Source organism: Homo sapiens, chromosome 1, assembly GCF_000001405.40.
Source record: "Homo sapiens chromosome 1, GRCh38.p14 Primary Assembly".
Taxonomy (NCBI): domain Eukaryota; kingdom Metazoa; phylum Chordata; class Mammalia; order Primates; family Hominidae; genus Homo; species Homo sapiens.
Genome location: NC_000001.11, coordinates 48,648,905 through 48,672,937, shown reverse-complemented (window position 1 = coordinate 48,672,937; position 24,033 = coordinate 48,648,905). Strand labels below are relative to the sequence as shown.

General features: G+C 45.0%; 1 protein-coding gene across 8 annotated transcripts in view; it reads left to right on the top strand.

The window, feature by feature from the left end:
* The window catches only part of AGBL4 (AGBL carboxypeptidase 4), a 1,501,444-nt gene that overhangs the window by 1,351,017 nt on the left and 126,394 nt on the right, over positions 1 to 24,033 (top strand). For 7 of the 8 annotated variants that reach the window (NR_136623.2, XM_017002595.3, NM_001323575.2 and 4 more), the window contains exons 7-8: positions 9,697 to 9,786; positions 19,487 to 19,601. Coding sequence is in view for 7 of the 8 variants with exons in the window: in XM_017002595.3 (XP_016858084.1) it covers positions 9,697 to 9,786; positions 19,487 to 19,601 (205 nt within the window). In the remaining variant the exon portion in view is untranslated. Of the gene's footprint in view, positions 1 to 9,696; positions 9,787 to 13,808; positions 13,884 to 19,486; positions 19,602 to 24,033 lie in introns of all 8 variants that reach the window. The other variant, XM_011542308.3, reaches the window with a different exon arrangement.

The following is a 24,033-nucleotide window of genomic DNA, read 5'->3' as shown; positions in this document are numbered from 1 at the left end:
TAAAGTGCCTGGTACACAGTAACTGCTCAAAACGGTTCCTCTTCAGCCACCTCTTACTTGACTGTTGTATTGTAACCCATTAGAATCATCATCAATTTCATAACAATTGTTCTTAGTTATTAATACGTAACAACCTCCTCCACTCCCCAATTTAGTGGCTTAAAATGACAATTGTCATGTATTTCCAGAGAATCTGCAATCTGACCACACATTTCTACTCTGTGATGTCTGGGCCTTCAGCTGGCATGACTCCAACAGCTCGTTTTAAGGATGGAAAACAGGTTGAGAGCGGGCATAGGGAAGGGGCCCACTGGAACTGCATGGCAAGTTAAGGAACAGATCTTTTCTGAACACCTCCACTGGGCCAGGTCCTGGGAGGGGAAACACAGCTGTAAGACTTTGAGTTGGTGAGACCCTCAGGTGACAATAAAACCATTGGAGGGGCTGAATTTATGTTCCTTGACAAGTGGTTGTGTTGGCTCCTCGAGTGACATCAGGCTTTGGAGTCTGGTGAATCCAGCCTTTACTGACTTTTATCTTGGCTCCCTCATCCATGAGACAGGGATTCCCATGTCTCTTGCAGGGCCAATGAAGGCCATGCCTAGCAGCTAGCTGATGCTCAACCAATGGCATCTACTAAAAGAAGGATTCATTCCCACTCTGCCTCTTAGCATCCCAGTGCCTGCCCAATGTGCCTGCATTGCCAGGAAAGCAGGAGAGGGCTCTTATTGTGACTAGCAGGCAGGCTGAACTCTTGCCTTTACTGTGGAAAAATCCATTACGGAGAAGTCATTTGTCAAAGCCAACTGTTTAGCTGCTTTAATTTACATATTTATCAAGTTTGATTAGAATGTATTGTCTTAGACTTTCATCCCAGCTTTCACCTCTCCATGCCCTCCTTTCCTAGGGAAACTGTTTTTGTTGTCCTTGTTGCAAAAGGGCACTTCATAATTCAATTTGCATTTGCTAATAAGCCTGAAACTAAACCTGGTGAGGAATTTCTGGGGTCTGCCAGTGGTGGATTCAAAAAGCAGAGCGCACATTGGGGAAAGCCTGGGCACTCAGTTCTAGCTGGGTACACTCATTCAACCAAAGGGCAACAAATACTACTTCACAAGTATTTACTGAGAACATCATGTGTGCCAGGCACTGGGAATACAAATTGTGAAAGAGGCAAAGTTGTGGCTTTCCTGTTGCTTACTGTCTAGTGACCTCACTTTCTGCATCTGTAAGGTCAGGCATTTGGACCAAGTCACCTCTCAGTGTCTGTAAGTATCCTTTTGAACACTTACTATGCATCAAGTCATATACATAGACCTGAAGCATTGTCTCATTTAATTCTTACAAGATCCTTATGAGTTTGATACTATTATTATCCTGATTTTGCAGATGAGAAAATGAAAGATCCTAGAGCTCAAAGTCACATACGTACCTGTGGCAGGACTTGGATTTAATGCTTCTTCTGTCTGATTCTAGAATTCAAATTTATAACCACAAGTCTTGATCTTTCTCCTCCACTGGCCAGTTTGAATAAAGTATTCTTGCAGGAGAGCAGTTGAGCTCCTGGATGGCAGGGACAGTGTCTGACTTCTCAGAGACCAGCCCAAAGTTTGGCATGTGGTCAGTGTAAGAAAATATGAACTGAATTTAACAGAAAAGAAAGTCCTTTGTCCTCAGCCTTCTTGTCTGAAACCTCAGATCTTGAGCCTCTGCTCTGTTCTCAGCAACCCTGGCTGGCATAACAGATGCTGCATGCACTGCTCAGATCTTCAGGATTGAGTCCTCAGTTCCCAGGAGCATTGGTAGCTGAGAGCACACAGCTGAGTTCCTCCCTGGGACTTGCACTCAGTCCTGACTGGGGTTACACCTTCCCTGATGGCAGGCCATATCCAGTATCCTATTGATTCAGGACACAGGGCCAGCCCCCTTGCCTCCTCAAACAACCAGGCAGGGCCCTCCTGGCCCAGAGCTCCTCGTGGAATTGTTGAAAGGCCCTGTTGAGTCTGTCCCCACCCTATTTCATTTGTACCTCTCACAAGCCTTCCCGAGAGCAATCTCAGTAAAGCTCCTGTATGGGAATCTCAGAGCCTCTGAGTCTGTTTCCCAGGAACCCTAACTTCAGCAGGTATTCTGAGTAGGTGGCTCTGGCTCTGCCTTTCTGGAGGTGTTTGTAGGGTGCTGGGATCAAGATAGATAGGGGTAGGGAGCCTGCCTGAGGAAGGAGCCTGCCCCTATTTATCTATCCTGCCATTAGCCTGCCCTGGAAGGCTGCCTACCTGCTCCCAGGCCTAGGTTCCAGCCCTATGGCAAGGAAGGGGGCTTTAGAAACTGCCAGAGCCCACAGAGCAGCCTGTCTGGGGAGAAGAACTCAGTGCTGCTCCTGTGACCATCAAGGTGACAACATCTTAGTTGGCCCAAGCCGCCTGTATCTCAGATCTGTATCTCATCACTTTTCAGCTTTTCTTCACTTCTCTGGCAGGAATCCACTGGCTACTTTCCAGGTGCCAGCCTGCATGGCCATTGCCCCAGGCAGCCCAGTGTAGTGAGAGGAGGCTGCTACCTGCCTGGACTACTCTCTAGCTGTGTGGCCAGGGGCAAGTCACTCGTTCTTTCTGGTCCTCTGCCCTTCTTCTTCATAGTGAGGGTGTTTAACTCGGTGATCTCACAGGCTGTGCAGTTCTGATGGCCTCTGTGAGTCTCCTGTAAGTCAGAGGCACCCTTACTGCTTTGTAAAGACAAAAGAGCAGTTTAATATGTCCAAGACATATTAAGACACCATTTGTGAAGATAGGGAGGTACACCAGAAAGGCTCCTGTCCCCAGCGCCTGATATTCCAGAATCAATGCTTCATTTTTTTTCAGGAGTATTTCTTTGTCATGTACATACTCTTTTCAAAGGTAATTCCTGTTCTCTTCTTCCAGCTCATCAAGGGCAGAACATTTGATCCCTAACCCTGAAGCATAATGAGTCTACTACTTAGATATGAGATTTTAGGCCATGGGAGATCTGAGCCTACGGGAGGGAATGGGGGTGTGGAGGATGCTAACGAGTCGGGAACTGAAAATAAATCTTGCCAACACCACTATTTTCTCAGGACGGCCCAGAGGCTCAGAAGTGCAGAGCAGATGCTGGGCATCAGGCAGAATGGATCTGAGTTGTGGCTTTTGGTCCTGCTTGACCAAGGCAGCAAATGATTTATGACCAGATGAGGGTCCAGACAGTGAACTGTGAATTCAGAGGAGGGTGAGGACACAGTGGTCTGGAGATATCTGGAGAGGCTTTGGGGAGGAGTTAGGAAAATATATATAAAGTCTGGGAAACTGAAGGTTTGCTTGGAGAGTTAATGATGAGGCCAGTTTGAATCAAGTATAATATTCTTGTAGGAGAGTGGTTCTTGACTGGGGGCTATTTTGCCTCTGAGGAGACATGGGACACTTGGTAACGTCTGAAGATGTTTTTCATTGTCATAACTGGAGGGAGAGGTGTTACTGGCATGTAGAGGATAGAGGAAAGGGATGCTGCTGGGCATCCTACAATGCACAGCTCAGCACCCGCAGAACCAAGAGCTCTGCAGCTCAACATACCTGTAGGGTTGATGCTGAGGAACCCCATTCCACGGCTTGTCACTCAGTAAATGGCACCTGCTATTATAGGTGAAGCCATGTGGCAGGGATATAAAGTCTCTTGCTTATTGTTTGTCTTGTGAGCTAGAGATTATTATTCTCATCTTATAAGTGAGGAAACTGAGGCTCAAGGTGGATAAATAATTGGCCCAAGGTCTCACAGTCAATACTCTGTGGAACCTGGTTATGAGACCCAGTCCATCTACCCAGGGAAGTCAGCTGACTTTTCATTTGACCCCCTCAGGGTACAGAAGAAACACAGGGAACACGGTCCTCCTCAGTGTCCCTCACCTAGCCCTTTCCTCTTGTTGGATCCACCCATCAAACACTGAGGCAGAGCTAACCCTGAATGTCTGGAATTTCATCAAGTCACATATCTACCCAAATGCATTTAGTGCTTCTCCGCTGCCTCCAGGAAAGCTCTATTGATATCTCCTAAACCTATATATTCTCATAAAATTATACTCAATAAATGTCTATACTATGGCCATGTTCTTACTATAATTCACAACATCCATTCCCTCTTTATTGTCTGTCTCATCAACACAGTGATATCCTCACATTGCTGATAAAATCAGATAAAACACAGCAACATTAACACCAAGGTTGGCCCAGTCCAAGTCCTGGATGAACATCAGTTTCCTCCTTTCCTTCTTAGAGGAGGTGCATCTGAACCAAGTCTTGAAGGCTGAGTAGGAGTAAGCCAGACGGCCAAGATGGGGGCTGGCATCCTAGGAAGAAAACAGAACATGTGCCCAGTGTGGAGGTGTGGGAGAACATGTCGTGTCTTGGGAACCATGGAGTGCTAGCTGGGGCTGGGGCCTGTGGAAGGGACTGGAGAGATAGGCAGCCACCAGCTACCAGAGACAGGGATGGTATGGTCTAGGCTAAGGGGGCTGGACTTGCTCTGCAAACAATAGAGCACTGCTGAAGGGTTTTATGCAGAGGAAGTGGTATGCTCCTATTTGCATTTTAGAAAGACCATTTTGGTATCCAGGCAGAGGGTGCACTGGAAAGGGTGGTGCTGGCACAGGGAGACCAGTGCCAGGGCTGTTCCAGTCCTGAGCAAGCCCTCTGATTAATACCAGCCAACCATGCTGCTGTTGCTACAGCGATGTCTTGTTTCTCCAGCTTAAGAGTACTATGGACCTGTTTGGGCCCTGGAGTACTGGAGAAAAGGCTGAAACTTGTCTGGTTTAGAAACCCATAGTAGGGCATTTTCTTGACTTTATCATGCCTTCACCAATCAAGTCAAGGAAATAAAAAAGGCTCAGGTGTCAACAACAACAACAACAACAACAACAACAACAAATGCTTCCCCCATTATAACATTCCACATTCCCCTCCCAGTAGCATTTCCTTCTTCCTTCGCATTAGCATCTCAATCCCCATGACAAGTCATTGTCTGGAGGAATGGGGAAACAAAACTGACAATATGAACTTCTGGGAGATTTTTGTCCTCAGAGACCCACCTAGGGCTCTTTGGGGCCTCTTGGCATCTACCTCTACCAGCAACAGATCCATAATAACTGGCCAAATAGATTGAGATTCTCCACATCTTGGCTCCGAGATTATGGCTTTGGTCCTCATTGAAAGTCAGCATCAATAGATAAGATGCAAACTTACTTAAGGTCTACATAGCAACTAGGAGAAATATAGTTATCTTCAGGGAGATGTCTATTATCTATTGCTGCCTAACAAGTTACTCTAGAATTTAGCATCTTGAAACAGCAAATATTTATTATGTCTCCATTTCTGTGGGTCAAGAATGTGGGAACAGCTTAGCTGGGTGGTTTTGGCATAGGTCTCTTGTGAAGTTGCAGTAGGCTGTCAGTCAGGGCTATAGTCACTGGACACTGCAGGATCCTCTTCCAAATGCACTCACATGGCTTTGGCAAACCTCAGTTCCTCCTGGCTGCTATCTGGGTACTTTAGTACCTCACCATGTGGGCTTCTCCATAGGCTGAGTGCCTTTATGACATAGCAATTGGCTTCCCCAAGGGTGAGCCATTCAAGAAAGAGATATCACACCCAAGATGGAAGCCAGTCTTTTTATACCTTAATCTCAGAAGTGGCACACCATCACTTCTATAGTATTTCATTTGTTAGAAGGAAGTCTCTAAGTCCAGCCCACACTGAAGGACAGAGGAGTACATCTCCACCTCTTGAAAGGCGGAAATGAACAAAGAATTTGTCGATGTTTTTTTAAAAACCATATAGGGTGATTTTAATCTCCAAAAGTCAATATGACACAGTAGTTAAAAGCACAAATTTGAGAATCATAAAGACCTGTGTTTAATTCTGGCTCCCACATTTGCTACTTATGCAAGTTTAGGCAAGTCATTTAACCTTTCTGGATCTCAATTTTCTAATCTATAAAAGAGTCTAGTCTAAGAATAGTAGATATTTCATTGGGTTGCTTTGAGAATTAAATAAGATCATGCATGTAAAGTGCCTGGCAAAGAATAAGTGCTACATAAATATTACTTAATTGCTATTGCAATGGGATGATATTGTCCTCCTTCCTAGAAGACAGTATAATATAGAGGTTAGGAACACAGTTTCTGGAGTCAGGCTATCTGGCTTGGGACTTTGGCTCTGCCAAATTAGCTGTAAGAACTAGGACAAGTCACTTAACTCTCTTGGCCTTGGTTTTCTGTAAAATGAAAATAATAATAGCTAGTGCCTGGCCATCTAATAGGTATTCAATAAATATGTGATGATTAAGGAAATAGCAGATGATAGAGGGTTATAGTGACAAAGGTGTGTCTGTGTATGTGTGTGTGCACGTGCATGCTAAGGATGCCACACAAAGCACGTTACTTCAAACACCTGCTGTTTAACTGGGGAGCCAGGTGTAGCTGCCCAGTGTTTTTTGAGTGTGCCCTTGTACCCTTGAGCATGTCAGCCTACATGAGCTCTTTAGTTGTTCTATCTCTTATGAGTTGTTCTTGGTCTCATTGTTTGCATTCTGTTCCACCCTGGCTTGGTTCAAGCATACTTTCTTCTTCATCTGTCCTGCCTCCACCAAGAATATGTTTAATTGGCTTTGCACAGAGTCTGGAGATTTGGTGACAGGAGGGGGTGGGGTAGTCACCACCTCAGAGCTGCTGCATTACCTTAAATTGATTTTGCAAATGAAAGCTAAAAGCTAAGCAAAGGCGACCCATCCATTTTGCCTAAAGATGATTATAATGCTCTTTTACGGCCTTCTAAATGACAAAGCAATTTGTTACCTGCCTGCATCAACATTTGCTTATATTAGCACCCGAGATGCTTGATTTTTATTAGCCCCATGTTATCATTTTATGAAGACGCAAGGGCTCAGTAAAATTAGTGTGCAAATAGAATGCCCATTTTGCATTTCCCTGTGGTCAGCAGAAATGCTGAATGCAATTGACTTGATACGGGGTCAGGGGAGACATCCATAAAGTTAGCCTTCACCAAGGGCCTCCTTAGTGCCATTTATCATTTCTGGACTGCTGGAAGATGGGGTCAGTGTTAGACAGTGTCTTTTAAAAGGGCTTGGTGATTTTTTTTTAAGTGAAAAAGCAATATAAATACTAAGACAGCGGCTCAGTTTCCATCACAATAAGATAAAATGAAATTCTCTTGTGTAAATTGTAAATGGAAATGCAGCAGAAGTGGAATCTTATATTGTTTTTACTGGATCCAGAATGAAACAGGGTAGTGAAAGGGGCACTGGCTGGGTGCTGGGACTTAACTCTACCACTGCTAGCTGAATGACCTTGGGCATGTCCCTTCCTTCTGTGAGCCTCAGTTCCTCACCCATAAAATGGAGTTAATACTGTCCACCTCACAGAGGCATGATAAAGATTAAAAAACATAATATGAGTCGATATTTCTTTATAAACCATCTTCTACACAAGTATTTTTATTTATTAATTCAATAGCCAGTCCTCGAGCACCTACTCCATGCAGGGGGTCCTGGGAAAGACATTAGCCATACACCCATGGAAGTTGCAGTTTCTTCCTTGAGGAGCTTATATTCAGTCCAGGAAATGCTTAGGTGTTGAATTCCTCTTTAAATAATAAACTTCAGGGCAGGTGAGCCTTCTGTCTCTCCCTTTGTTCCTAAAGGTGCCTAGCACAGAGCTGAGCAGAGTGAGTTCTCAAGACTATATTTTGGTTCCATGATATTTCTTGCTGCCTTTCAGGGGAAGCAGTGACTCCACCCATACTGATCATCCCAATGGACAAGCAAGTCCCAAGCCTTTAGAACCAGGTTTAATAGGGTTAATATTTTTAGTTTCATCTCTGACATTGGTGCAGTGACTGTTGGGATAAAGAACCACGTTCAGAATAGCATGTCTCCAGCATTTCAGAAGGAGAAATCCTATTAATTATTTCTATTCTCTCCCTCCAGATCATCCTCAAACATTGATAAATCCTTCAATTCAACCTCTCTCAATGTTCTTTCTAAATTTCCTTCAGGTAATTGTTGTGCTCTGTATCAATCAGCCCTTCGTCTGCCCACTGCTGAGTATCCTTCCCCAGATGTTTCTTTCTGGGAATGCCACCCTTGGCTGTTGCTTTTGTCTGATGATATCTTTGCACAATAGTTCAACTTTATTATACAAATTAGACTTCTGCAGAGACAAAAAGAGCTTGAGTTCTGATTTGGAGCCACATTTTCCTACTTTTCTGCATGTCTAATCATTTTTTATTGGATGCTGGATATTGCAAATTATACATTGCTTTGACTCTCTGGATTTTGTTGCCTTCCTTTAAAGAGAGTTGGGCTTTGTACATCAAGCATTTAAGTTTCTTTTGTTCAGTTTGATCCTTTTGAGACTTGTTTTAAAGCTTTGTGAATGTGGTGGTCTAGAGTAGTTTTTCCCTACCACTAAGACATTGCCCGTCTGAATTCTCATTCTCCTTGGATGATCAGTGAGGACTTCCTCTTTAGTTGTGGGAATTCAAATGATTCTTAGCCCTGTGTGACCCTAAGGACTGTGCAGTTCACAGCTCCTTGATCATTTTTTCCTGACATCATGGGGAGTCACCCTATGTATGCACATCCAACAAAGAATCAAGAGGATTCCTGTACAGATTTCTGGAACTCTTTTTCTACAGTGCTTCCCCCTCTCTGGAGCTCACAGTTACCCAACTACTACCTGCTGAACTTGAATCTCAGTGAGGCTTCTTTGCTTTGCTCAGGATACCCCTCTCTGCTCTTTGGTCTGGAAAGGATCATCAGGCAAAAAGCCAGGGCAATCATAGGGCATATCTCATTTGTTTTCCTTCTCTCATTGATTATCTTGCATTGGCTCTTGTTCAATGTCTGAAAATACTTGTTTTGAATATTTTGTCCAGTTTTTTAGTTGTTTAAGATAAAAGGGAAATGAAGGCCAGACAAGGGATTGGGATCTAATCTCAGCTCCTACCACCACTTTTCAGCTGTGTGACCTTGAACAAGTTATATAACCTCCATGAGCCTCACTTCTGCCTCTATTAAAAAAACACATTAACAGCATGTTCCTGTAAGGATTATGTATGTGTATAATGTGCCTGACACAAAAGGAGCTAATTAAATGGCAGATGCTACTATTACTAATATATAAATAGCTACCTTCTCTACTCCATCATTTACTGAATGTTTACTGTGTACTATGCAATGTGTAAGCCTGTTTAATCATCACAACAAACCTATTAAAATCCTTGTTTATAACCTATAAACAAGGATATATTGTCATCCTTGTTTATAGATTAGAAAATGGAAACTTGGAAAGGATACACAAGTTGCCTAAAGTCACAGTCAGTGGATTTGGGATTCAAATTCACTCATATGGCTTCCTTGGATGATTATAAATACTACATATTAATATAATATGATCAGTTGTACCAACAAAAGGGAATGTAGTCTTTTGTTGGGTAGGGACATAATTAAATTAGTCAGCAATGGCTGGACCTTAATGATTCTAACCCAGTGGTTTAAGAGGTAAATGTAAAACATCCAGCCCATTCCCTCTGGGGTTCCCTGCCACACACCAACCACTAGACTCAGCTTTTCTTGCCCTCCTTAGCAACCATCTTTCATTTTATCTTACAGACAATCTCCGGGAAGGGGCAGAGCAGAAGGTGGTATTCATCACAGGACGAGTCCACCCAGGGGAAACACCCTCATCATTTGTGTGCCAAGGTGAGTGGCAGGATCTCATAGGTATCCTATACCCACATCCAACTGGGACACTGTGATGATCTCTGGAACAGTGTGGCCACATGCAGAGCCATTATCTTAAATGGAAATTTAATGCATTTCTTTAAAGAGATTTTACCTGATCTCCATTAGGTTTTATTTCAATAAATGTTTATTGACTAGACGTATGTATGAATTAATTAATCAATGGATAGATGGATGGATGGATAAATGAACAGGGAGGGCTGAACGAAGTTATCTCATATGTGCTGTGGTGAGGAAGAGCCATACAGAATCATCTACACTCCCTAGCTTTACTTGCCTCCAGTGGTTTACAACAGCAAGAAATCTGGCCCCAGGTCAATGTGTATGTTGGCAGAAGAGCTGTGAAATGGGAGGTAATGACTGAAAACTATCTCTTCACTCATTCATTCAATCATTCACTTAAACAACTTTTGAAATACCTGCCAAGAGTAAGCACACTTGGCATCAGACAACCAGAGGCAAATAAGTCATAATTTTTATTCTCAAGTGTTTCTGTTTATAATTGCACTTTTACTTATTATTACATATTTCACCCATACTACATTTAGTCAGCTATAGTCAGCAATATATATGTATATTGTTGAGCAAGCTGAAGTTTAGAGAAGTTAAGTAATTTATCTCATTTTAATCTCAAAGTGACCATGAGGTCAAAGAGATATGAAACGCCTGTGTAGGTTCTATAACTCAAGGGAGGTGGCACACTGCAGTGGAAGCCTCTGAGGATTTGAAATCAGACAATCCTGAGGTCAAGTATTGGCTGTGCCACTTTCCAGCAGTGTGACTTCAGTTGCCTCAAATGTAAAATGATACTACCCAGGCAGGCTGTTACGAAGCTGGCATGAGATGAATATAAACAGCACACCCAGTCCTGTGCCTGGCACACAGCAGGCACTCAACAGATGTTACCGCCTTCCCCGTGGGAATCTGAGAAGATGAAGCAGGTAATCTGCTTTGTAAACTATCAAGCACTGTGCAAATAAATATGGGCTTTATTTTCCCAGTTCGTATTCTTACAATGCTTTAGTTAGGCACGATTGCCTTCCTCTTTATTTCAGATGAGAAGATGGAGTTTCAGGGAGGCAGTGACTTGCCCAAAGCCGACCAGCTTGTATGATGCATGACTGAGGCTCCAGTCACTATAGCTGACTCCTTAGCATTCTCACTTTGGCCTTCTTCCTCCCCAGCATTGTCCTTGCAGTAACCTCTTGAGGTCCCTCCTGGGTTTACCAACCCCTTTACTTGCGCCATCTGTCAGTTACTAAACTTGGCAGCAGATCTCTTCCCCCAGCTGATTGGATGTAACTGCTTTGTCCTTGTTTGTAAAAAGACAGTAGCCTTACCATCAATATGTTCATCTCTGGGAGCCCAAACCCCTGTGCTCACCTCCCCTGTGGGCAGTAGACAGAGAGCAGGGTTGCCATCCCATTTCACAGGTAACGACTGAGGCAGAGAGGAATTGAATGGATCTCAGGTGCTCTCTGAAGACCCTGTTACTAAAAGGGAATCTTTGGATGGTGCTGAGTTCATACACTCAATGGCGTTCTGTAGGTTTTCAATAAATGTCTGTTCCTTGACAGAGTCTTTCAATGCCTGCCCGCTGGCTTCTCAAAATAAACTACAACTCCCTGGCATGACATTCCCAGCCCTCTGTCATCTGGCTCTCACCTGGTTCTCTGGCCTCAGCCTCATACACTCAGCCCCACACAGCTGAAACCTTGAGTGGGCGGTCTTCTCTTGACCAGTGCACCTTTACACCTGCTGCTCCCTCTGCCTGGCAGGCCCTGTGCCTGCTCCTTGCCACCTGGCAAGCCCCATCCATCTCACAGGGCTCATTGTGAGTGCCCCCACTGTGGGCCTCCCTGGCCCACTCCCTCCTGCCACCTGCTTTGTGCCTGCATTGTGGATCTAAAGATGGCCATCATCTTTATTGATAACGGTCATCTCTATTGCCCTGATTTATTATCATATACTTGACTCATATTTGTTTTTCCCTCTTTATACCACGAGCTGTGTAAGGTCTAGGGCTGGTCTCCAACTGTCATTTTCCACATCTGTCAAATGGGGTTTCTTGTTCATCTTATGGGGCTGTTGTGAGGAAAAAATGCTGCGTTGAACTCAGAAAGAGGAGCCTCAGGGTTACACAGTCATTAAATAGCGGAGTGGGGCTTTTAACCTAGGTCTAGCTAACTCCCAAGCCTGTACATGTTCCCTTGTCCCACTCAGGGATGGGAACTACTAGAAGGTGAAGTCTTATACCTGAAAGAACTGAGTTCTGATCACCCACAACAATTGATGTGCATTTTACAGATCAGGATGCGGAGCCTCAGGGAAGCACAATGGCTTACCCAAAGTCACACGGCTAATTCACGACAAGTGTGGTTCTGGAGTCCATCTCCCCAATCCTGTTTCTCATCTTTCCTTGTCTCTGTATCTGCCCCATGAGACACACAATTCATACTTCCTTGAGGCAGTGTAAGAGGCATCATTACCCCACTTTACCAATACAGAACTGAGGCATGGTCTTTTCTAAGGGTGTCTCAGCTACATGTAGACAGCCCGATCACAGCCCCACAGGGCACAGCTGGGAGTTTCTTCCTCAGTCATAGCCCTAAATGTGTCCATCTTCCCTCAGCCCCCATCAGCCCACCTTCTTCTGGGGATAGCAGGCAGGTCCAAGGTGTGGACAGATGCTGACATACCTTCAGTTCTGTTAACTCTTCCACATTAACTGGCTCAGTGACCTTGAGCAGGGAACAGGCATGTGAAGCCGGTTGTGCCCATCTGGCTGGGACCACAGTTCTCACCGCCGAGCTGCTGATGCACCTGCTGCTGGGAGTAGAGTGAAGTCCTGTCACCACATAGCTCTGGAAGGGGTGGCAGCAAGGGTAGCAGGGCTCAGATTCCTCAAGACTCTGCTTGTTGGTGGGATGCTTACTCTGCTACTCCAAACCCTGCCCATGACCTCTGTGAGGCCAAACTATCCTGTTCTCCAGTGACTACGGGAGAGGTCAGAGGAGCTCCTGTGTGGCCCTGTGGCCAGCCATGTGAGAGCGCCATCCCTCAAGCTGCTACACTGCGAAGCATGAATCCCAGCTCCTCCCCTTACTGCAATGTAACCCTGGGAAAACCACAAAATCTCCTTATGCCGCAGTTCCTTTATCTCAAAAGGGAAATAATAATAGAAATCCTGCCTCACAGCGTTGTTGTGAAGACTGACACAGTTCATATCCATCGAGCATTTAGGATGGTCTGGAATAGAGAAAATACTAAATAAGTGCCAGCAGTAGGGGAGGAGCTAGCACTAATGGAGCACATGGCCGGTGCCAGGGCCTCCATGAGGCACTTTGTACCTGGTTCCTCTAATCCTTACTGTGAACCAAACCCAGGTGTGGGCCTCCCAGACTGTGGGCCCCAGCTCTTCCTCGTCGCCTTCCTGAGAGGGTCACTAGCTGAGCTCTGCTCACCTGGAGGGTCACTTTGCAAGCCAGGAGCTTGGCCTGAACCAGACCTAGACCTTGTTGACCTTGTTTCTGACTCTTGGTCAAGTGTATGTTCTTTCACTGACTCTTCCTGGGACTCTGGGGCCAACTTTCATTGAAAATTTCCATTTGCAGAGTACTTTGTCCTCTCCAGACCCTTTATCATTGAATTAATGAAACCAGCACTTATGAAATGCTACTGTGGGGAGCCATGCCATGCTCTGAAGGGCAGCAGGGGCAGTGGGCACAGCTGTGGCTTTGGAGTTTGATGGGCCTGAGTTTGAGCCTACCATTTCCATCTAGCTAGGGGACTTTGCCTAAGTCCTTGCCTCTCACAGCCCCTATTTCCTGACCTGCAAAATGGGGGCAGCAATGTCTTCCTCAAGGGGCTGCTGTGAGGGTTTAATGAGACAGTTGTAGGTCAATGGTGGGTCAGCCCCAGGCACAGGTAGGTGCCTGACCAGTACCCACAATCCCCTCTTCACCTTCACTCTTCCACAGGAATTCCACCAGGTCACTGGGCAGCTCTCAGCTCTTCTTTTCAGAATAGTCCAGGGATTCACTGGATGTCACCTGGTAAGTTGGTGGTGGAGTGGGGACTAGATCGAGGTCTCCTGCCTCCCAGCCTGAGCCCTGCTGCTACATGCCAAGGTGCCCATCAGGGCCTAGACTATGGAGACAAAGAGCTAGCCCTCTCCCAGGAAGTTCACTCCTCAGGGTTATTTTGTGGGAGTAAGAAGAGGGAGGAGGATGTGGATACACACACACACACACACACACACACACATGCACACACCATGCTCTCACAAACACCAATATTGCCAGGCACCGGGACCAAGCACAGCTTCATACTTCCTGTCAATGAGGTAGTGACCTTTGCTCCTCCCCCATTCTGCTTTCCTCCCACCTCTCTTCTTCACCTGTTCTTCCTCTTCTCGCTATCCCAAACAGCTTCCCACTATAGGTGTGGTGCTAGATCCACTAAGCGTTTGTGACGGGGCCTTTCACTTTTCTAGACTTCTGTCTCTTCATCTGTGAAATGGGCAGAGTTGGGGGCAGGAGGGTGAGGACTTATACTCCGTGAACTTTAAGGTCATCAGGGCCAGACTCCTTGTGAGTCCATAATTCGAGGCCCTTGGACTCAGCTGAGGGCAGACAGGGGTCTGGTGCCAGGTCAAGGAAGGGCCTAGAGTGGCTGCTGTTGTGCACATCACACACTGGGCCAAGCAGAGACCTCAAACTGTCTTGCTTCAAACCTTGGCCCTTCCCACTACAGAGGACTGCCTCTGAACAGAGAACAGAAACAATAAATTTTGCACAGAATTCTCTAGAGAGAAAATCATGCAGGCATATGCAAATTATTCCACAAATCACATGCAGATAGACTCCTTGCTCTGTGCATCTTGTCTTCATGGAAAGAGCACTGCTTTGAAGCCAGCAGAACTGGGTCTGAATCCCAACTAGGTTCTTGTGAGGCACTCAGCAAGCGATGCCACACCCTGACTTTCTTTCCCTGTCTGTGAAATGGAGCCAATAGAATTACAAGTCAGTCCAGCTAATGAATATACAGTAGTTGTCATGGGTCGATCTTTATTTGCTCACTTCATACATAGGTCTTGAGTATTTTCCCTGTGCCAAGCACTGAGCTAGGCACTAAAAATATAGTGGCAAAGAGAGGAGACCTCTTCCTGCTGTCTTGGAGCTCATGGCCTGGAGGGAAGACAGACTTAAACCACAATGTAAGTTTAAGTAAGCCTCAATCTCAAAAAAGAAGTGCAGGAAATGTAACTTTCTTATTTTTCTATAACTGAATTCAGTTTCTATTTTGAGGCCCCATCCTGCCAGGGGCCAGAAACTTAATCTCATTTATGTTCCTCAAGGTTGGGTGCTTTCAGCAAAGAGTTCTGATGCTCTCGGGGTTGCAGGCAAATCATTGTATCATTGGTGCCACCTTCTATCCACACTGTTTGCTGTCCACCCACTGCACCTCATGACTCTCTGAACCTTGGCCGCTGCAGAGCCCCTGCAGGTCACTATCATGTTCCACCCTGGTTCCTGACTGAAAGCTGCTTTACCTCTGCCAGCTCTCTCTGCTATGCCTGCACCCTACCTCCACCTCTGTCCTGCCTTCAGGAGGCCCTGCCCTGCAGTATTCCTTTCCTCTTAGCAGCATTCCACGCTGCAGCCGGATGGAGCTCTCCAAAGCCCATATCTGACCCAGGCTTAAAACCTGGCAATAGCTCTATAGTTGCCTTCAGGTTTTTTTCGGCTGGAACAGCAAATCCTTGTTCACCTCTCCATTCCCATGTCTACAGCAAGCCAACGAAGAGCAATGATGAAAACAATACTTGTATATTCTTACTGTGTACCACTTTGCTTATATCAACTCACTTAAATCCTCACAAGAACCCACAAGTAATTCTTATTCTCCCCTTTGTAATTGATGAGGAACCTGGGGAACTGGGAGGTTAAGGCCACACAGCAAATGAATGGCAGAGAGAGGCATCAAACCCAGATTGTCCAGTTTCAGGGTCTGCGCTTTTAACCATGAAGCCAAGGCCCTGGAATTGAAAGGCTTTCCGTTACCAACAGACCATCTCTTCCTACCCCAGCCTGGATACCTTCCGCTGGCACTCCTTTCTTTTTATTTTAATTTTAAATTTTAGATTCAGGGAATACATGGGCAGGCTTGTTACATGGGTAAATAGTGTGTTGCTGAAGTTTGGATTTCTAATGATCCCATCACCCAAGTAGTGAACATAGTACCCGATAGGTAGCTTTTCAGCCCTTGCCTCTTCCCTCCTGCCCCTCTTTATGAATCCCGGGTTTATGGTTCTCTTGGTGTCTGTGTGCACCCCAAGTGTAGCTCCCACTTATAAGTGAGAACATGCAGTATTTGGTTTTCTGTTTCTGTGTTAATTCACTTAGGATAATGGCCTCCAGCTGCATCCATGTTGCTGAAAAGGACGTGATTTTATTCTTTTTATGGCTGCATCCTGGCACCCCTTTCATCTGGCTCCACTCTACTCATTTTTTAAGTCCCCTTTCCAATATCTCTTCTGGGGCCCCAGGCCCCTGCTGAGTCCCCACAGCTATGTGCTGTTCCCATCAGAGCCTTTGCCAACCAGTGGGGACTTGCTTCCTTACTGTGCACCCCTCTGAGGCAGGACCATCTTAGGCATTTTGAAATGCCCAGAATTTGGTGTGCCAATGAATGTTTGTAGAATGAGCAATGATCAGTTCAACTAATCCCACACAGTCAAAGTTGTATGAATTCCTGGAGCAATCCATCAATAGGCGTTTATAAGCACCTACTATGTGCCCAGCCCTAAACCAAACACTGTAGGAGAAAAAAATCAGCAATAAATATGTCTCAGTTGAGGTTTGGCTAGAGAGGTTCATCCTGGTCTGTTGGAAGCTGGGACAGGGCAGTGATCTCTAACTTCCAGCTTTAATTTCAAATCCTCTACCACTTTTCCTTCTCTTCTGGCCTCTCCAGCTTCCAGCCTTCCTGTCATCCTGCTTTTTTCCAGCTTCCTGGTTAAATCAGCTTGAAGAAGAGGACCTGGCAAACTTGTTTACAGAAGGAACAAGGCTGATCTCAAGGAGGTTGATGGTGTCTTCCAGCAGGAGGGAGATTATTCTCCTCACTTGACAGATGATTCTTCTACTTTTGGCGGAGAGGAATAAAATAGATGGAATCATACAATGTCAGTGTAGGAAGTATCCTTGAGAATTATTTAATTCTTTCTCCTAATTTTAAAGATAAGCATAGACCCAGAGGCTTTCTACAGGTCACCCCGTAACTAAGCCAAAACTAGAACCCAAGTTCTGTTTTGATTTGTTGGCTTCCACCATTCGGTATCCTTGTCTCCAAATTTCATTGTTAGTCAACTTCACAGACTAGGACACCTACTTCTAAAACTAATCCTGTTTTTAACTACCCACTGCCTTTCAACCTTTGATCTAAGTGAGTTTATTGAAGCATGCCACAACTTTCAGGTGCTGTGTCAGGCAGCTAACACAGGATCTCTGATACAGGTACACAACAGTCTTCCAGATTAGGTATTACTATCCCTATATCAAGATGAGAAAACTAGTCAGGGAAAGCTAGTCAGTAACTTCTGTAGCTAACACTCAGTTAAGATTCAAACTCAGGTCCTGAGACTTTCTGCTCCCCTGGTCCCTCTTTTTTCTTGGTCCATCCAGTGCTTTTGGTCTTTGGCCAGGATGGCATCATCTCTCCACTCTTACATGCCCTCTCAGTCTTCCCCATACTCCTCTCTCACCACAAAGAAAAAAGAAAAAAAGAAAAGAAAAGAAAAGAAAGATCTCCCTATTTCCTGATGAATGGGAATGATTTTATATTGTATCTGACCTCAAACCAACAGATGAGTCTTAAAACCTCCCCTCTCCTTGCCCCACACCCACCCTAGGAGAGGGAGCTCTGGGCAGCTGCAGCCTCTGGTCTGCCTTTGTTTTCTCTCATTCTTTTATTAGCTGCCTAATTGGCAGCCCAATTAATCTGCTCATCTGTGAAGGAGGATGGATCACAATGAGCTACTCCATTTCCAGAAGCCATTCTCTGAGGCGGTGTGGCCAGGCCCTGAGCACAGGCTGGCTCCTTGATGGAGGGCCGCCCCGGGAGCTGGGGTCAATTACTGGACAGATTAAGCAATTATTAGCCCCTAACAAGGGCGCCTGGCATCATTACCCTGCCTGTTTACTGGCAAACTGCAGCTTTAATATGAGGACCAACAAATAAATTAGGGCATCTGGTCTACTGCCGCGTTAGCCGAGAAGTAAATGATGTCCAACTGGCTTTCAGCTGCCTATGGATTCTCAGCCCTGGCCTAATGAAAAGTCTGAGATGTCCCTCACTGGTCACAGCAGCTCTGGAATGTGCTCTGGAGCGAGTTATCATTCCAAGAGCTGAGTGCCTGCACTGGGCACTTGTTCTTAGTCACCCTGCTGCCTTCCTCCTGCCATCTATCAAACCTACCTTTCTGACAGGGCTCAGCTCAAAGGCTTCCTTTTGACGCCTTTCTTGCTCTCTCCAGCAGGAACGGGGCCCCACTTCTGCATTGTGGGAGGGTTTTGCATTCTCCTATCACTTTCTGGCATTATAGTAATTTCATGGAATGCTAGAGCACCATTTTGCCCATTTTCTTTTTCAGGTCTCTGATGAAAGAGTAGAAATATGGGGGAGATAAGGAGAGGGACAATGGCTCAGAGTTGTTTGTTTTCTCACCCCCTCTTCTATGGGTAGATGCAGGCTGTCACCAGAAAGATATCAAAGAGGGAGTGACAGGATCAGATTCACACTTCCAGAAGATCCTTCTGGCTTCAGCGATGAGGGCTCATTTCATAGGTGGTGGCTGTTATCCAGGCCTGGTGTGATGGTAGCCTGGGTTAGAAGACAGGCAGTGGGATGGAGAAGAGGGGAAGATTTGCTCCATTCAAGAAAAGGACATGGGGACTGCCTGGCAGTAGGAAAAATGTCATGGAGACAAATTTTCTAAATTTGGTGACCGGAAGGCAGGGTGATTTTAGTGCCAGTGAGAAGCCGGGAAGGCAATCATCCCTGGAGTCCTGGAACAGAGGATCCTCAAAATGGGGAAAGAAGCACATTTGGAGTACATGAAAGAAACCTCCTTCTGCTCATGTGACTTTGGCTAAAATGCTTTTCCTCTCTGCTTCTTGGTGTGCCTATCAGCAACATGAGCATTTAAATCCCTAAGGCCTTGACCCTGTGATTATCACATCTGATGTCAATGTTTAACTAAGTGTGCCTATTAGAAAGCATCTCTTAGTTTACTGTTTAGTGCTAGCCCACCTCTCCCCATCTCTTTGTGATGAAACTAGGTGGGCTCTGAAAGCACAGCTCAAATATCATCATTCTCGGAAGCCCTCCCAGTTCTCTACCGCAGGAAATGCTCTCTCCCTCCTGCCCATGGGCTTCAATGTTACGTCTTCAACTGTCTCTTGGAAATACAAATGTATTTGTAAATACAGTTTATACAGATAACGCGTAGTCTATAACCACACACCCACAGTGGCCAATAACAACACAGGCCAAAATCACCTATTGAGCTCTTCTTGTTTTCCAAGCTGAGAAAAATGTGTTTCCTTCTTCTTGAAATGCTTTGTTGTTAAACCGGGCTCTTCTCTTTCCCTAGGGATCATTGACTTCCTTGTAAGCCAGCACCCTATTGCCTGTGTCCTCCGGGAATACCTGGTCTTCAAGATCGCACCAATGCTCAATCCTGATGGAGTCTACCTGGGCAATTACAGGTAAGGAATTGGGGAGAATGCTTGGAAGCAAGTACTTATAGGATGGTAGTATGGAAGCAAGAAAAAATACGGGATATATTTTTTGAGGAAGAATTTTGAGGCTGCCCATGAGTTCATTAGAGAAAGTTTCACCCTGGCTCTTGAGAATTTCTTTAATTAGCTTTGGCTTTTTCATGCACAGCCACCTAAGGTCACTTGCTGGGTTTTTCTAGACAGCTCACTGGACCAGGAATCAGGAGACCTAGTCTCAGTTTTGGCACCTACTTTCCATGTAACCTTGGGGAGTCCACTTTTCCCTCTCTGGGCTCAGTTTCTCTTGCATAATGGAGACAATAATTACTTACCTGAAAGGGCAGTTGTGAGAGCTTCAAAAGAAATGGTGGGAAGGAATGTGTTTTGCAGAATATCGTGGGGTAGTTATAATGATGACTGTTTTGTTGTGTTTCCTCTTGGAGAATATCAATGAGAATAGAATCCCAGGTCATCTGAAAAACATTTCTCTTCAGTGTGGGCACACCAGCCAGCCCCACACTCACGCACTCAAATCTTGAACTCCTTTTCTCCTGGCTTAGCACCATAATTTACAGCCTAAAATTCCACTGCCCAGAAGATTATCTGCCAAAAAAACACCGACTCATTTGAGATAGATAGTGTTATTGCCCTTATTTCACATTAAGCTGACTTGCCCAAAGTCACACAGCCAGTAAATCATTGACTAACTTCGCCATCCAAATTATACAGTTTTAGAGCTCGTTCGGCCCACGACTTTCAAGATGACATTCAGACCCCCCAGCTTTGCATGCAAGGCATTGTCTGCCCTGCTGCCTGTGTGTCCACCATCCTGCCTCACCTCCTCCTCTCCTCCTAGAACAGGTGCTGCAGCTGCGTTGAGGAAAGCCCAGTTCCCCAGACATGTCCTATTGGTTCCTGCTACCTTATGTATGAAGATACAGGCTGCCTGCTGCCCAGAAATCCCTCATCCCTTCTTCATCCCATTAATTCTTTGCAACTCAGTTCATGTTCCTTATTCTGGAAAACATCCCCTTAAACCCTAAACAGAATTGGCCACTCTCTTCTCTGAGTTCTCACAGGCCTGGTTATTTATTTATTTGTTTGTGTATTTGTTTATTTGTTTGAGACAGGGTCTTGCTCCATCACCCAAGCTGGAGTGCAGTTGTGCAGTCATGGCTCACTGCAGCCTCAACCTCCTGGATTCAAGCGATCCTCCCACCTCAGTCTCCCAAGTAGCTAGGATTGCAGGCATGAGCCACTGTACCAAGCAGGCCTGGTTATCGAACAACTCTTATTCCATTGCATGTCCTCCACTGTACTTAAAGCTACTGGAGGGCAGAGACTGAACCTTAATGGCCTTTGTGTCCCTCATGCCTAGCAGCAGGGATCAGCACATGGTAGATGCCTAAAAAGTGTTTGATGAATATGAGAGATGAGAAGGATGACTTTACTAATGAAGAAACTGAGTCCCAGAGATGAAATAGTACTTACTCAAAGTCCGTGGCCTAACTCAGACTGGAACCAGATCTCCTGACAGCCAGCCAGGCTTGTTTTACACAGAGTTGGTTTACTGCTTTCCAAGAGCATGGCAACTGAGTCCAGAGGGGCTTCCTGGTACCCTTGGGTGTGAGTTAGAGAGAGCCCATGAGATGCCTGAAGCCTTCATTAAAGACAGTTTTGCTTCCACTCTTAATTGGCTGAAGTGATGGTTCATTAGCATTCGCAAGTTTTATGGCTTGTTGCAGGCCTGAGAGTGATGCTTTTCCACCTTCCATGGACAGAGTGTACTGTTAGCGATAATAGTGGTAGAAAGACCATTTGATTTATGCTAATGTTTCTGTTTAATTACAAGAGCAGCGGTCAGAGAGAGAGGTCAATACTTCTCTCCACACATTTATTTATGTCATCATCTGCTGTCTCGGGAAGGACTAGCTTGAAGGAGGTCAGTGACCTTGGCCAAAATGCCTCCCCTCTCAGGGCTTTAGATGGACACTGGGATGGTGATGAGGGCTACATGCTTTCTACATGTCTTCAAGCCCCAGAGATTTTGTGATTTGAGGACTCCGTGATAAAAGATTTCCAACCCTCAGAAGTGGTTTCACCCTGAAGCTTCAACCCCCAACATTCTCCTAGTGAGAATATGTGATTCTCATTATGAGACTTGGAGAGCAACTCTAACCAGAAGCATTAATGCTATTGCTAAAACTGTACAACAAAGAGCCTATCAATCATGAGAATTCTCTACTTAAAGCTTTAGAGAATATATAAAAAAATAATAAAGACTCAGAATTGAGAACTTCAAGGTGCCTTAGAGGTCCCCTAGGCCAGCCACACTACTCTCTACAGCAGTACTTCCATGGTTTGGTGAGACTTGCCAAGGCATTATGGGGGGAAATATTCAGAGTTCAAATAAGTTTAGGAAACACAGAGTTAAGCAAAGTTAAACATGTTCTTTTATTCATACGACTTTTCAAAATTTTGAATATGCTTATAAACATAGGGAATCTAAGAGGGGAAATAGTACTCAGTGTTTCCCAAAGTTAAGTGAGAGGGGGTCCACATCCTCCCTGTAACCAGTGTTATGGTTTCTGAAACACATTTTGGGAAATGCCATTCCAAGAATTCTACTTGCCAATCTAATGGCCTGTGAAGCACTCACACACTGATCTCATTTAATCCTCATAATTCTGTGATGGAGGAACTTTGTTTAACTTTGTTAAAGTTTTTCTAAATTCAAATAATAAAAATCTACTAAATCTAGCTTGAGTACAGGAGAAAAGGTGGCGGTGGGGGAGGGAGAGAGGGAAGGAGGCAAGGAGGGAGATAGGGAGGAAGGAAGTAAAGAAGGAAGGAAGGAAGGAAGGAAGGAAGGAAGGAAGGTTGGTTCTCAGAATTCTAGTGCAGTAAAGAGAGCCAGACTTCCCAGGAACTGATCAAATTGCTGGAAACATGTTGGAAGACGGGTGGCCAGGTCTTTGCCTCTCTCTCATGCTCTTTAGCTTTCATTCTCTCAACATCTCCCTCTGGACGTGCAGACTCTCAAGCCTCAGAGAAGTTAAGTCATCCCCGTGAGGTCTGTGGCCTGTGAGGAGCGGGCAGGGATGCAGGTGTGCCTGACCTAGCCCTGCTCCTCTCTGCAGTCCCACACTCCCCTGATAGCCAGCACCAAGCCTGCCAGACCCTGGGAGGAGAACCAAAGACAGGCCTGCCCTGAGGCACCTCACTCTGCTGGCTGGAGAGATGGTTCAACAGGCCAGTTCCCTGCAGTGTGAGAAGGGAAGGCAGGAGCTTGGAAGGAGTAAAGGTCAGTGGTTGAGAAAATGGACTTGGGTGTCAGGTCAGATTTCAATTCTGCTCTACCGCCTACTTGCTATATGACCTTGGGTAAATTACATTGCCTCATTAAGCTTCATTTTTCTCATCTGTCAATGGAGATACTATAGAGTTATGAGGCTTTTAGTGAGATAATGCATTTAAAGCACAGTGCTAAGCACACTGTAAGTTATAAATAAACATTTATTCCTCCTTCTCTTCCTCCTCCTCACTCCTCCACATTAAAGAAGCATATAATCCAATCTAGGAAGGCTGGTCAGGGAGATTTCCCAGATTTCATCAGCTAAGTTTAGATTTAATAATACAAGTACCTATTCTGTGGTATTTATAGTGAACTGAAGAAAGTACACTCTAAAATTTAATAGCAATAGATGGCCACTATACCATGATAGATCAAGCTCTTTATGTTAAAGAACAGCAACATTTTCTAACTAGACTACTGTATATGATACCAGACTATGGTTTACAGTAAGAGTATATAGAGCCTATACTAAAGTTTATAGCAGCAATATATAGTAACTATAGTATACGCTATAGTAGCTATCTTTAACAATTATGTTGGATGATATAACAATAGATAACAGTTACCTTATACAGTAAAAGCACAGAGCAACTATACACTCTGTCTTACTTACTGCACCTCAGTTACATTTGCCTTCTCTTCATTTCAGGTCTTAGGTTTAATGCCACTTCACAGAAAGGCTTTCCCAGGGATCGCAATATATAGTGGGTCTCCCATTACACTCTTTTATAGCACCCTGTACTCTCCCTTTATGGCTCTTGCCCTAATTTGTAATTATGTGTTTATTTATGTGACTATTTGTTTAATGATTGTCTTCACTTTAGACTATAAACTCCGTGAAGTCAGGACTTTGTTTACCTTGTTCTCTGTATCCCCAGTACCTGGCAAATGGGCTCTTGATATATATTTTATCTTTCTAGTCACTGACCTGAAGTTCACATACATGTTTCCAGAATGAACAAATGAACTAAACAACAGTGTTTAGTGATTGTACGATGGCACAAAGCTACAGTGCCCAGTGTAGAGTAACTAGGGCCAGATGCAGTCAGCCCCCAGCCCTTTACC